Source organism: Homo sapiens, chromosome 2 (genome assembly GCF_000001405.40).
Source record: "Homo sapiens chromosome 2, GRCh38.p14 Primary Assembly".
NCBI lineage: Eukaryota > Metazoa > Chordata > Mammalia > Primates > Hominidae > Homo > Homo sapiens.
In genome coordinates, this window is record NC_000002.12 from 33,619,185 (window position 1) to 33,632,323 (window position 13,139).

The 13,139-nt window shown below is 38.9% G+C and overlaps 1 long non-coding RNA gene across 2 annotated transcripts in view; it reads left to right on the forward strand.

Annotated features, from left to right (window-relative positions):
• Positions 1-13,139, forward strand: part of LOC105374455 (uncharacterized) — a 56,893-nt gene that overhangs the window by 19,840 nt on the left and 23,914 nt on the right. The window lies entirely within an intron of this gene.

Below are 13,139 nucleotides of genomic sequence, written 5' to 3' on the forward strand. Positions count from 1 at the left end.
TTGCCACACAGAAAGCCAATCACTGAGACAACAAGTATTGACAGGGAAGAAGGCTTTAATCGGTTGCTGCAGCCAAGGAGATGGAAGATCATTCTCAAATCTGTCTCTCTGACTGACTAAAATTGGGGGCCTTTATATAGTGGAGGAAGTGATGTAGCTACATAGGGAGAGGAATTAGAGAGGGTTAGGAAGCAATCATGATGAGTGAAGAATCTGGTGCCTCATTGTCTGGATCTGGAGAGCTGATGGGTTTCAGTTCCTGAGGAAGGAACTCAGATGTGACAAACGTAAGTTTCAAGTTTTAAGCACCAGGAGGGTCAATTTCTATGTTTATTGAAAAAGCCTTAAATGTCATTTCTATGGGACAATTGGGCTGTTTTCAACACCCGAATCTATAGTTTCTGATTCTCACTTTTTGTGTGTGCATTATTGTTGTTGTTTATTGTTTTTTATAAGGGGAGTTTTCTGTATGTAAAAATACTTCTCTTATTGCGTTGAATTGGTTGTACAATTGATCATAAGATACTCTATCAATAAAATAACAGATTTTGGGGAAACAAAAATACTGCATGACATGCATGTACATTTCTTTTTCACATTAAAAAATACTATGTACTACAGGATCACAATTAAGGTTTGCATTTAATCCTTTTATACATTTAAAGTCTGAAGATTCTTCTAGGTCACTTTTTGACATTGACAAGCTTGTACAACATCACGGTGACACTGACATCACTTGGATATGATGACTGAGCAAGATTGAGTATGAAGAATGACCCCCTAGGATGACTTTTATATGACTGAATGGAGGGTGATGCCTTTTAGTTGCTACGTAGAGCCATGGAACAGATCTGTGGAACTAGATCATGAGATGAATTTTGGATATGTGGAAGCATTTTGAAACATTTCTTTGAGAAATTCAAATGGAGCTATCAAATAACCAACTGGGGCCAGGTACGGTGGCTCACGCCTGTAATCCAAGCACTTTGGGAGGCTAAGACAGATGGATTGCTTGAGCCCAGGAGTTTGAGACCAGCTTGGGAAACATGAAGAAACCCTATCTCCACAAAAAATGCAAAGATTAGCTGGGTGTGGTGGCACACACCTGTAGTCTCAGCTACTCAAGAGGCTGAGATGGGAGAATGGACCCGGGAGGTGGAGGTTGCAGTGAGCCAAGATCACGCCATGGCACTCCAGCCTGGGTGACAGCGCAAGACCCTGTCTCAAAGAAAAAAAAAAAGCCATTGGATAAAAGTCTGGAATTGAGTGGCAAGGTCTGTAAATCTGTGAGTTACCTCCATCAGGATGGGACTTAATATCATAAAATGATATTTTATAAAGGTTGGCAGTGGAGAGGATCCAAAATATTAGGGTATGGGTAAGGTTTAGAGGCTGGAAGGATGGTAATCCATGATATGCAGTGGTGAAACAGTGGATAAAACTATCTCCTGCAAAAACTTGGGAGAAGTATCGTATATCTAATAAAGTTTAGCTTTAGACGACAAGATGGAAAAATAGAATATTAGAAGCTCATGTGGGTTTCTATTGGATGTATTTGCCAGACATTATTAGAAAGAGATGAACTCAGAAAATAATTACTGTGTTTGGAATCAGGAATGAAAAGGAGGACAGAAAATTATGAAATTCAGGGACTTATTCTTGGAAGAAGCAATGGCTTTTCAACTTCAACTAGAGAAAGCTAATACTAAGAAGGCTTCCGAATAACAAAAGCTGATTAAAACTAAGCTTTGTGTCAAGGGTCAAACCCGCTGATATTAAAACAACTGAATGAAATAAGATGTTTCAGAGTAAGCGTCCAGCCAAATTTGTCCAGCCCAGTAAATAAATACCTTTAGTGACTCAGAAAAAAGAGATTAAATGTGAGGCAATCCCTGTGCAGCCTTATAAACAGCAGGTATGCACAATTAATTTGTGAGAGAGCATTTTGAATGTAAGAAAGCAAATACAGGGCCAGGTGCGGTGGCTCACGCCTGTAATCCCAGCACTTTGGGAGGCCGAGGCGGGCAGATCACGAGGTCAGGAGATCAAGACCATCCTGGCTAACATGGTGAAACCCCGTCTCTACTAAAAATACAAAAAATTAGCCAGGCGTGGTGGCAGGTGCCTGTAGTCCCACCTACTCGAGAGGCTGAGGCAGGAGAATGGCGCGAACCTGGGAGGCAGGGCTTGCAGTGAGCTCAGATGGCGCCACTGCACTCCAGCCTGCATGACAAAGCGAGACTCCGCCACAAAAAAAAAAAAGAAAGCAAATACGTAGGCATTCTGAGTACCCTGTCTAAGGAGAAAAATAAAATCTAGGGACATAGAACTGACAGGAGTCAGAACATAAGGGGCTTGTTTTAAGGAGGTGATAAGCTGGGCATGGTGGCTCACACTTGTAATCCAACTTTGAGCAATCCCTCAAGGAGAATTACCTGAGGCCAGGAGTTTGAGACAAGCCTGGGCAACATAGAAAGACCGCCACCCCTCCGCCAAAAAACAAGCTGTCCATGGTGGGTACCCCTGTAGTTCTAGCTACTTGGGAGGCTGAGGTGGGAGGATTGCTTTAGCCCAGAAGGTCGAGGCTGCAGTGAGCCAAGATTGTGTCATTGTACTCCAGCCTGGGTGATAGGACAAGACCCTGTCTCTAATAAAAATAAACACATAGGCCAGGGGTGGTGGCTCATGCCTGTAATCCCAGCACTTTGGGAGGCCAAGGTGGGCGGATCACCTGAGGTTAGGAGTTTGAGCCCAGCCTGGCCAACGTGGTGAAACCCCGTGTCAACTGAAAATACAAAATTAGCCAGGCGTGGTGGTGTGCGCCTGTGGTTCCAGCTACTTGGGAGGCTGAGGCAGGAGAATCGCTTAACCTGGGAGGCAGAGGTTGCAGTGAGCCGAGATAGTGCCATTGCACTCCAGCCTGGGCAACAAGAGCGACTCCATCTCAAAAAAAAAAAAAAAAGAAAAAGAAAAAGCGAAATACATAAAAAATTAAAAAAATAAAGGAGTGATCTGGCAAAAGAACCACATGGTCAACCAGAAGCCCGTGACTAACTGAGACCTAACAATGACCCTGGGTCATCAACCTGCTATGGGCAGGAAGTAGCCTGAGAAAGCTTCTCAGTACTCAAGGAGGAGCTTCTATCCAATTCCACTTCAAGTGTGACCAAGGAGGGTGACAGAAAAGGAAGAATCTCCCAGAGGGTGAAGCCAAAGGTCAAGGTGGCAGTTTCAGAGTCTTCTTCTGTGCCTTTCCCACCAGAAAGGCTGTTGTTTAATGGTCAGAGAGCCAATGGGAGGCATTTTTTCAGCTACTGAGTATAGCCATCCTTAGGGGTGACTATCATACATTTAGGGGCTGGGGAAAAGAGCAGAGAGTGTGTCTATGTGACTAACAGTGAGATGGATTTGATTTATAACTTCCTTTATTCTTTGGTCTCCATATGCTCCCATGCTAAAGTGTGGTAGGCATGATGGCATTTTGGTTCCCTTAATACCTGTGTCAGCTCAGACTCTGTATCATACAGTCGTGAGTATTCCCTCTGCTCTGTGAACAGTTATTCTGGAAAACGGCCAAATATGCACCTACACATTGGAATAATACTCTACATAAATGAGAATGAACAAACCACAACTTTACACAACAATATTGATGAGTTTCGCAAACATAAAGTTGAATAACAAAAGCAAGATACAGAAGAGTACATAGTATATGATTCCATTTATATAATCATTAAAAACAGGCAAAACTAGTTTATCATCATTGAAGTCAAGATAGGTAACCATTGGGGGGCTAGTAATTGAGAAGAGAAGAAATATGGGATTTCTGAGAATGGTTGTATTGTTCTTTCTCTTGATCTTAGTGTTGTTTACATTGTCATTCTCTGAAAATGCATCAATCTTTACATTTATGACGTGCACTTTTCAGTATGTATGCTATACTATTAATATTTTTGTATAAGTCTTTGCGGGTGGATCTACATCTATTATTTTTATATCTTCATTTCTTTTAGATAATTACCTATAAGTAGGGCTATAAGGTCATAGGCTATGTTTAATTTTTTTTTTTTTTTTTTTTTTTTGAGACAGGGTTTCACTCTGTCACCTACGCTCAAGTGCAGTCAGTAGCACCATCACAGCTCACTGCTTGACCTCCTGGGCACAAGCAATCTTCCCACCTCAGCTTCCCAAGTAGCTGGGACTATAGATGCACACTACCATGCCCAGCCATTTTAAAAAAATTTTTGTAGAGATGGTGTCTCCCTGTGTTGCTTAGGCTGATCTCAAACTCTTGGACTCAAGCGATCCTGCTGCCTCAAAGTGCTGGGATTACAGGTTTGAGCCACCATACCTGGCCCTGTTTAATTTTTTTGACTACTGAATTTCCTAAAGAAGTTGTAGCATTTTACACCCCTACTAGGAGTAAATGAAAATTCCAGTTGTTCTACATCCTTGTCAACTCTCGTGATTGTCTTCTTCATGTTTGCCATTCTGGTAGGTGGTCATGATTTTATCTCTTTGTGGTTTTAATTTTTACTTCCCTGATAGCTTATAATATCAAGTGCCTGTTCACCATTCTAAATACTTAGAACAGGGTCAGGCACAATGTTAGTGTTCAATAGATGTTTAATGAATAAAGGAATTAAATATCAGGAATTTCAACGTTATACCTTTTACTAAGTATGTACCAAGCTCTAAACCACAATTAACAGCAGTATGCAAAATATGACTTTTCTTTATTTCTACATGTGAAGTTCCTAAAAGCAGAGTAGTATTAACTGTTCTCTTTTTATGTATAAAAGAGTGGTTAAAAGACTGGGTTCTAGCAACAGACTCCCTGGCTGTCTCATCTATTATCTGTGTGATTTTAGGAAATTTAGAAGATTGTTTCATGCCTCAGCCTCCTCATCTGTACAATTGCTGCCATAATAGAATCTACTTCATAGTGTTGTTTTGAGGATTGAATGAGGCAATTTATGCAATGTATTTAGAACAGTGCCTGGCATATAGTAAGCTCTCAGTAAATGTTAGTTTTTGTTATTTTCCAGATATGTTTAAAAAAAAAAGCTTACAATTCTTTTCTATAAACTGTGTATATGAGTAAGAAAAACATGGCTCCTTTTTACAGTTAAGAAATTGAAGCTCAACGAGTTATTGGTTTTTGTTTTGTTTGTTTGTTTGTTTGAGATGGAGTCTCACTCTATCACCCAGGCTGAAGGCAGTTGAGATACAGCAAACGCAGGAACTCTCTGCCCTCCCTTTTACTGCCTAAAAGCAGGGCGTAAATGTCCCCCATCTCTTGTGCCAGGTTGAGGGGAGCAGGCCTTATCATTGAAGATGAGACAGCTGGCACTGAGATGAGTCTGCATAAACAAATCTTACTAAAATAACCCCTATCTTCCACTAGTCTCCCCCATATATTTCGTAGTCACTTTTCCACATTTATTGGCCCTGGAAGCCCAAACCTCTTTTCCTTTGACTCATCATTTCTCCATGATTATTGCCCTTGGCTAAAATGGTATATAAACCTTGAGTCTTAACTCCTTCTTTGGGTTTTCACTTCTTTTCTGTGAAGACCCTGTGCATATAAAAATATTAACATCAATAAAATCTGTATACCTTTTCTCCTGTTAACTTGTATTTTGTCAGTTCAATTTACAGATCTCAGTTACTAAACCTAAGGAGGTAGAGTAAAAGTTTTTTTTTCTCCCCTACACTATATTCCCTTTTTTTCACTGTTACCAAGTAAAATTTCATTCATTTCTCACCCCCTTTTTAACAACAAAATTGACCTCTACAACCTTCTTTTTGCTTACATTTCTAGTGAGTACAAATATTTCTATTTAAGGAAAGAGGCTCAGGATGAAGAGAAAGAGAGATCTTCTCTGTTTTGCAGCTTTTGGGTGAGAGTGCTTTCTGTATCATTGAAAGCATTTGAATAATGTAATTTGATAAAGCACTAGAAACATTCATTAGACTCCTAATCTTGCTTTTCTGTGCAATAAAAGAGATTCCTGTGAATATTTATAACTGTTTCTAACTTGTTTCTTGCTTATGTTAATCTGCCCTTGAAAGCAAAATTTAAACAAAGAGAACTTGTAAAATTGCAGAGACTTTAGAAAATGGTGCTGTATCCCATGAAAATAACCTTCAAAGAGAAACATGTAATTCTGATTAGTTTTCTTACTTGTTTTTTTTGTTCTGATAATAATGTTGAAATTGACATCTCTATATTCCTAAAAAGAAAAAATATATTTATGAGTTGTTTTTCTTAAATCAGTTAACCTTTTCCCCTTCTGGTGTGAATGGAGGGGGGAGTTGTATGACTGCTAGACTTCATCATTTAAAAATGATTAACAATCTCATTTAAATAAACAATTGTGAGATATACTTTTATTAGCTCTAATGACTTAAATGATTTTCTTTGTGTATTTGATATGGCCTGTTTCACCAGCTTCGGGGAAAAATCACTTCATATTTTCATCTCCACACACCTTACTTGGCAAGAACTTAAATATCTCCCACTTTGATTTTCTTCTGCTCTTCCCAGTTGCCCAAGAGTCTTTGGACTGAAGCTTGAGTGCTTCCACACATCAGGCAGAGTGCAAGGTGGGAAGTCCAATCAGCCCAATAGTTGATGGTTGCTTTGGATGCTGTCACTCAGTTACGCTACTGAATATCTTGGACAGCCGGATGAACTCTTGTCCATTATTTCACTGATACCCTTCCTGGCACAGATCCTGGCAAAAGCTGCTATTGATGACCTGGAGTTGGGCTCCAAGGTTACATTTACATGCTCAAAGGGTCAACCTCCACACTTTGCCTTTTAGTTGAGCCCATGGTACCAGCCGAAACTCCCTGTTTCCTTGCAGTTGTTCCACTTTGAGGCTCATGACATCTTTTTAAACTAGTGGACTACTGTTTAAGCCACCCAGGTCCACCTGGGTCAAATGAGGCTTCAGTATCCACACCTCCCCCCACCCCTTTGGGTCTTGGGATCCTTAAGCAAAGTGGTCAATTTCTCCTTTTGAGTAGTGCGTTCAAAGGGGCCTTAGGTGGAGGCTCCTTTATCACACCCACAGGATTCTGTTACATCTTCTCCCGGGACAATGGCTGTATGTCTGCCTTATACCTGCATCACTAAAGGAGCTGCCATTCAAGAGATAGCTCACATAACAAGACAATCTATTCCTAGGTAAATTGTGCCTCAACTTTGGCACCAGAGGCAGCTATCATAATTTTGAATTTTTTAAATTTTTTAAATCAGAGACTCTAAACACTTATTGAAGGCCATATGTTACCAAGAATAAGGCCAATAGAAGGAAGGATTTGAGGCCTGGACATACGAAAGAAGTTATGGGTTTTTAGATCTGTTTGTGTTCATATTGTTCAGTAGAAAGCTCTGTGTGTACCAAAACAAATTAGGCCTCTGTCTGAGAACTATAGAAAAGGAAAAAACTTTTCCTTTACTCACTCAGGGTTAGTAACTGGGGGCTTGTGAATGAAATTGACAAAAGACAGATTACCAAGAGAAAAAACCGAGTTTATTCTTGCAAAGTACGTACACATGAGAGTGTTCAGTGCTGAGTAACTCAAAGGGGTGGTTAGAATTTGGAGCTTATATACCATTTTAATAGATAAAGGGGAGGAATAGAAAGGCACTATGGGAAAACAAATAACTTTTTAGCAGCATAAATGAGCTCTATGGAGAATAGATAAGAGATCTGAATCTTGTGTCAATGTCTGTTTAGATGTGGTGTCAAACTCACTCCTAGTCTCTGAGATTAGAGTTGCTTCTGGAGAGAGGATTTATGACAATTAGTTATTTTGGGAGGCTCTACTTTTGGGCAGATAAAGGATTTCCAGAGCTAAAATACCTTCATCTCAAAATAATTTTTATGACACAATGGCATATTTTGAAGTGTCATATTTTGGTCCCCTTCACAAAGGACCAAATTATTTGAACATTATAAAATACAACAAATTCAAAAAATATACAGAAAATAGTTTATCTCCTGTTTCTTTTGACATATAATTCACTTTAAAATTCAATGTAAAAAATCTAAATACCCCCAATCTCCCTAGATAGCTAACCACAGGTAATTTTAACCCTACATATATGCTCATTCCAATTAGATCATGGATAAAGGAGCTTTGTGATCTTGGAATTCCCTTTACTTTGAAGCCTCAGCCAATAGCAGGAATAAATTCTTAATGTCAATTTACCAATGGTAGCCTATCTGGTACATTGGTATAAGATGGGAAAATGCAATTAACTCACATGAAGAAAGCTTGGCTTCATGCTTTTCATATTTCTGATCTTTAGATTTTAGTGTTTACTTGCCAAAATCTTAACAATTTTCCTTCCTGCTCGGCATGTTTGTAGCTGCATGATGGCTCATCAGATAGGTCTATCCTTTTTCTTTTTTTTCTTTTTTTGAGATGGAGTCTCACTCTGTTGCCCAGGCTGGAGTGCAGTGGTGCAATCTTGGCTCACTGCAACCCCTGCCTTCTGGGTTCAAGTGATTCTCCTGCCTCAGCCTCCTGAGTAACTGGGACTACAGGCCTGTGCCACCATGCCCAGCTAATTTTTGTATTTTTAGTAGAGATGGGGTTTCACCATGTTGGCCAGGTTGGTCTTGTACTCCTGACCTCAGATGATCTGCCCGCCTCAGCCTCCCAAGGTGCTGGGATTATAGGCGGGAGCCACCATGCCCAGCCTAGATTGGTGTATTCTAATATCTACTGAAGACTGGATTACATTATTGTTATTTTTAACTAGAAAGATAAAATTTAGAGAAAGTATCATTTTCAAGTAAATTGTGTGCCTATGAATCTAAAGAAGACAAAAGATTAGTTGACTAAGCCCTAATGAAGTAGAAAATATCTGTATTTTGTTTAAATAACTATGGGTCCGTAGCCTATGGGGACACTTAGTTTTTTAATTCTATACTGCAGCAGATACTCAACAATGGCCTTGGAATAGTGTCTTTTTTATGTGGCCAGTGAAGTTTCCCTGCTGATGGCAGATGGCAATTTATTTTTAAATTGGCCTACACAGAAATACTTTTTTTTTCTACCTTGGCTATGGTGCTGATTTCAGGAAGACAAGCCTCCATAGAATGTTAATACTGGCAGGTTAGATTTTTCATGTAACCTTAATTGGAAGAACTGGGAATAATGACTGAAAATTCACCTATAAATACCTCCCACAGAGGAAAAATCTACACAGAGTTGTTGCTAATGATGTCAAGGTCTCCGGCTTCTTCTACAGCTGATGACTGTTATAAATCCAGACTTCTCCCTCGTGTCTTATCTTGGTAGAAATGCTTTGAAGACCCATTCTCCCTCTGCTACAACAAGGCCTTTAAACATTCCTGCAAAACTGCTCTTTTATATTAATGTTTCCTCGATGACTCCCCTGAGCCAATGACAGCATCTGCTCCCACAGTTTGCCAGGACATTAAAGCAAGAGCTCCTCTCAGCTCTGTATGATGTATGATGGACAGGTCTTATCAACTGCATTTTAATCAGGTTCTTTCTTCTCTGCTCCTAAGGAGAAGTGTTTTCCGTGTTGTGGCATTGACGTACAGAGGCTCTCACCAGCTCTTTTCATAAATTCATAAGAAAATTAGTTTATAGTTATGAAATAATACCTTACATTTTCCTTGTCCAGATTTGCTTCTGTCAAAAGAGGAAGATTTGCTATTTGCTTAGTAAGGGTGGGTTGAGTCAGTGTCTCTCTCTGTGTGTGTTTATTCATTTTATAAGAAGATAAGACATTTATCTGTTATGTAGTTTATGTCATAGAAAAAGTTGTAGATATAATAATTCTATTTTAGAATTATTTCTAAGTGGAAATAATTCTAGATCCAAGCTGTGCTTTGAAACTATCATTTCATTTTATGAGAATTTTATTTCTGAAATGACATTCATGATCTAATATTAAATGACTTCTTGTGAAGTTATTTCGTAGCACTGAAAAAAGGAATCATGGAAATAAATGATGTAAATATATGCATTTCCCAAATCTATCACTGTTTGATCCAAGGGCCATTGTATGGGTATTGCTGTGGAGTCTTGTATAATGAAAGAATCTTAGAATGTTTATCTTAGAAATTATTTTAGGTTAGTGTTTCCCTATTGATATGCTTTGGCTCTCTGTCCCCACCCAAATCTCATGTTGAATTGTAATCCCCAGTGTAGAAAGAGGTGCCTGGGAAGTGATTGAATTGGTGGGTGGTGTCTAATGCTTAAGCACCATCCCCCTAGTGCTGTCCTGTGTTAGAGTACTTATGAGATCTGGTTGTTTGAAAGTGTGTAGCACCTTCCCCTTCACTCTGTTTTCCTCTCGCTCCTGCCGTATTAGACATGCCAGCTTCCCCTTTGCCTTTTGCCATGATCGTAAGTTTCCTAAGGCCTCCCCAGAAGCAGAAGCCTGTACAGCCCACAGAATGGTGAGCCAATTAAACCTTTTTTTTTTTTAAATAAATTACCCAGTTTCAGGAACTTCTTTATAGCAGTGCTAGAACAGACTAATAACCTATGTTTTCCACAAAACAATGATTCAGAGAACTGCCAATCAGTTCAAAGGAAAAAAATGATGAGGAGAAAACCTGGCCTGATAGATTTATGGGGCAGATTAAACACATAAAGTTTTATTTATTATAATATTTCACATATCCATATAGCATTTAAAATGCTAATATAGATTGTGGTGTCCAAGAGGCAATGTTTTGCTTCCCAAGATGATTGGACCACAAATTCATTTCTCCCCCCAATGTATAATTTTGTGGGGCTCACGTTTCATCATTCTTGGGCAAGTGCTGATCAAGCACAACTCCTTAGTGATTCAGTGGAAGAAAATGGAACCCGTAAGAGGTCATTGACATGTCCAAGATCACTCAGATGCAGACTCAAAGCTGGAACCAGAACTCCCCATGTCTGTGTTTTTTCCGTGATTCCATACTAGCTCTACTTGCTTATACTTCACTACACGTAGACTACTGTTAGAGTAGTTTCTATGTGATTTCCTTTTATGATATGCTTTTAAAAATTAGATTATTATATTCATATGTTATAATAGTAATCTGAATTTGTTCACATTTTCTTTTTGCATTTTTTTTTTTTATGGTAAAAATGATACAGGAGGGGGCGGGAAGTGCTGGAAGGAGAAGGGCGGGTCCCTGGCTAGAGTTAAGGATTGTTTTTTCTATTTCTGTGGAGAATGTCATTGGTATTTTGATAGGGATTGTATTGAATCTGTAGATTTCTTTGGGTGGTATGGACATTTTAACAATATTGATTCTTCCAATCCATGAACATAGAATATCTTTCATTTTTTTGTGTCCTCTTCAATTTCTTTCATCAATGTTTTAAGAATTTCATTGTAGAAATCTTTCATTTCTTTGCTTGCTTCCTAGGTATTAATTTTATTTGTGGTTATTTTAAATAAGATTGCTTTTTTGATTCTTTTTCAGATCGTTCACTGTTGGCATATAGAAATGATACGGATTTTAGTATGTTGATTTTGTATCTTGTAACTTTACTGAATTTATTATCAGTTCTAAGTTTTTTTGTGGAGTCCTTAGGTTTTTCCAAATATAAGATTATGTTCTTTGTAAACAAGGATCATTAGACTTCTTCCTTTCCAGTTTGGATGCCCTTTCTTTCTTTCTCTTGTCTGATTGCTCTAGCTAGGACTTCCAGTACTTTGTTGAATAACGGTGGTGAAAGTGGGCATTCTCAGCCTGTTGTAGAGCCATCCTCTGGGAATATTTTTTGTCACACCTTTGGATCCATGTTGTTTCATGGATACTAAGTCTCTCTGTTTCTGTTTTTTTTCTGTGTTTTTTTCAAACCTTTATAAATGACGTTTTACATGTTTACATTTTTTTCTTTCTGAAAGCTTTCATACCCTTCTCTGTAACCTTGGTGTTCTGGAATTTCATAATTATATGACTGGGTTGTGGGTCTTTTCTCATTCCCTGTTCTGCTTTTTGTAGTCTTTTCCAGTCTCTGGCTTCATGTACTTAAGTATAACAATGTCCTCTCATCTGTTTTTTTTGTGTGTGTGTGTATGTGTGTCTTTTGTTTGTTTGTTTTTTACATTGTGGTAAAATGCATGTAATATAAAATTTACTGCCTTAACCATTTTTAAGTGTACAGTTCAGTGGCATTAAGTACATTAATATTGTTGTGCTGCCATCGCTACTATGCATCCCCATAACTCTTTTCATTTTGCAAAACTGAAACTCTGACCATTAAACAATAACTCTGTATTCCCCCTTCCCCTAGCCATTGGCAATCACTATTTAACATTCTGTCTCCTTGATTTTGACCACTCTAGGTACCTCATTATAGTAGTTACGGTTTTCTAGAGAAACAGAACCAATAGGATGTGTGTGTGTCTGTGCGTGTGTGTGTGCATGTGTGTGTACACATACATTATACGCACACACATACACATATAGAGACAGAGATTGATTGAGAGAGAGAGAGAGATTGATTTATTTTCAGGAATGGCAAGGCCAGCAGGCTGGAGACCCAGGGAAGAACTGATGTCAACATATACAATTAATCATCCTCATCCTGTAATCCCTGTGACTCAGGAGGCTGAGGCAGAAGGATTACTTGAGGCCAGGAGTTTGAGACCAGCCTGGGCAATAATAGTGAGACTCGTCTCTACAAAAACAAAAGGTAAACAAAATATTTAACCATCATACTCACATAAGTGGAATTATACACTATTTCTCCTTTTGCGTCTGGCTTATTTCACTTAGCATAGTGTCATTATGTTATGTCTTCTCCTTCTCCTCCTCCTCCTCCTCCACCACCTCCTCCTCCTCCTCCTTTTTCTTCCCTCTTCCCCTCCTTCACCTTCTCCTTCTCCTTGACTTAGCCTGCATTTCTTATGTTGAACAAGCACTGCTTTGGAGTTTATGAGGCAATTTAATCATGTTTACTATTCCCCTTTTATTATTCTGTGGCACTAGTTCTTTTAATTTTTATTTTTAAGTAAAGACAGGGTCTCATTATGTTGACCAGGCCTATCTGGAACTCCTGGCCTCAAACAATCCTCCCCCTATGGCCTCACAAAGTGATGGAATTACAGACATGAGCCACTGTACCCAGTCAGC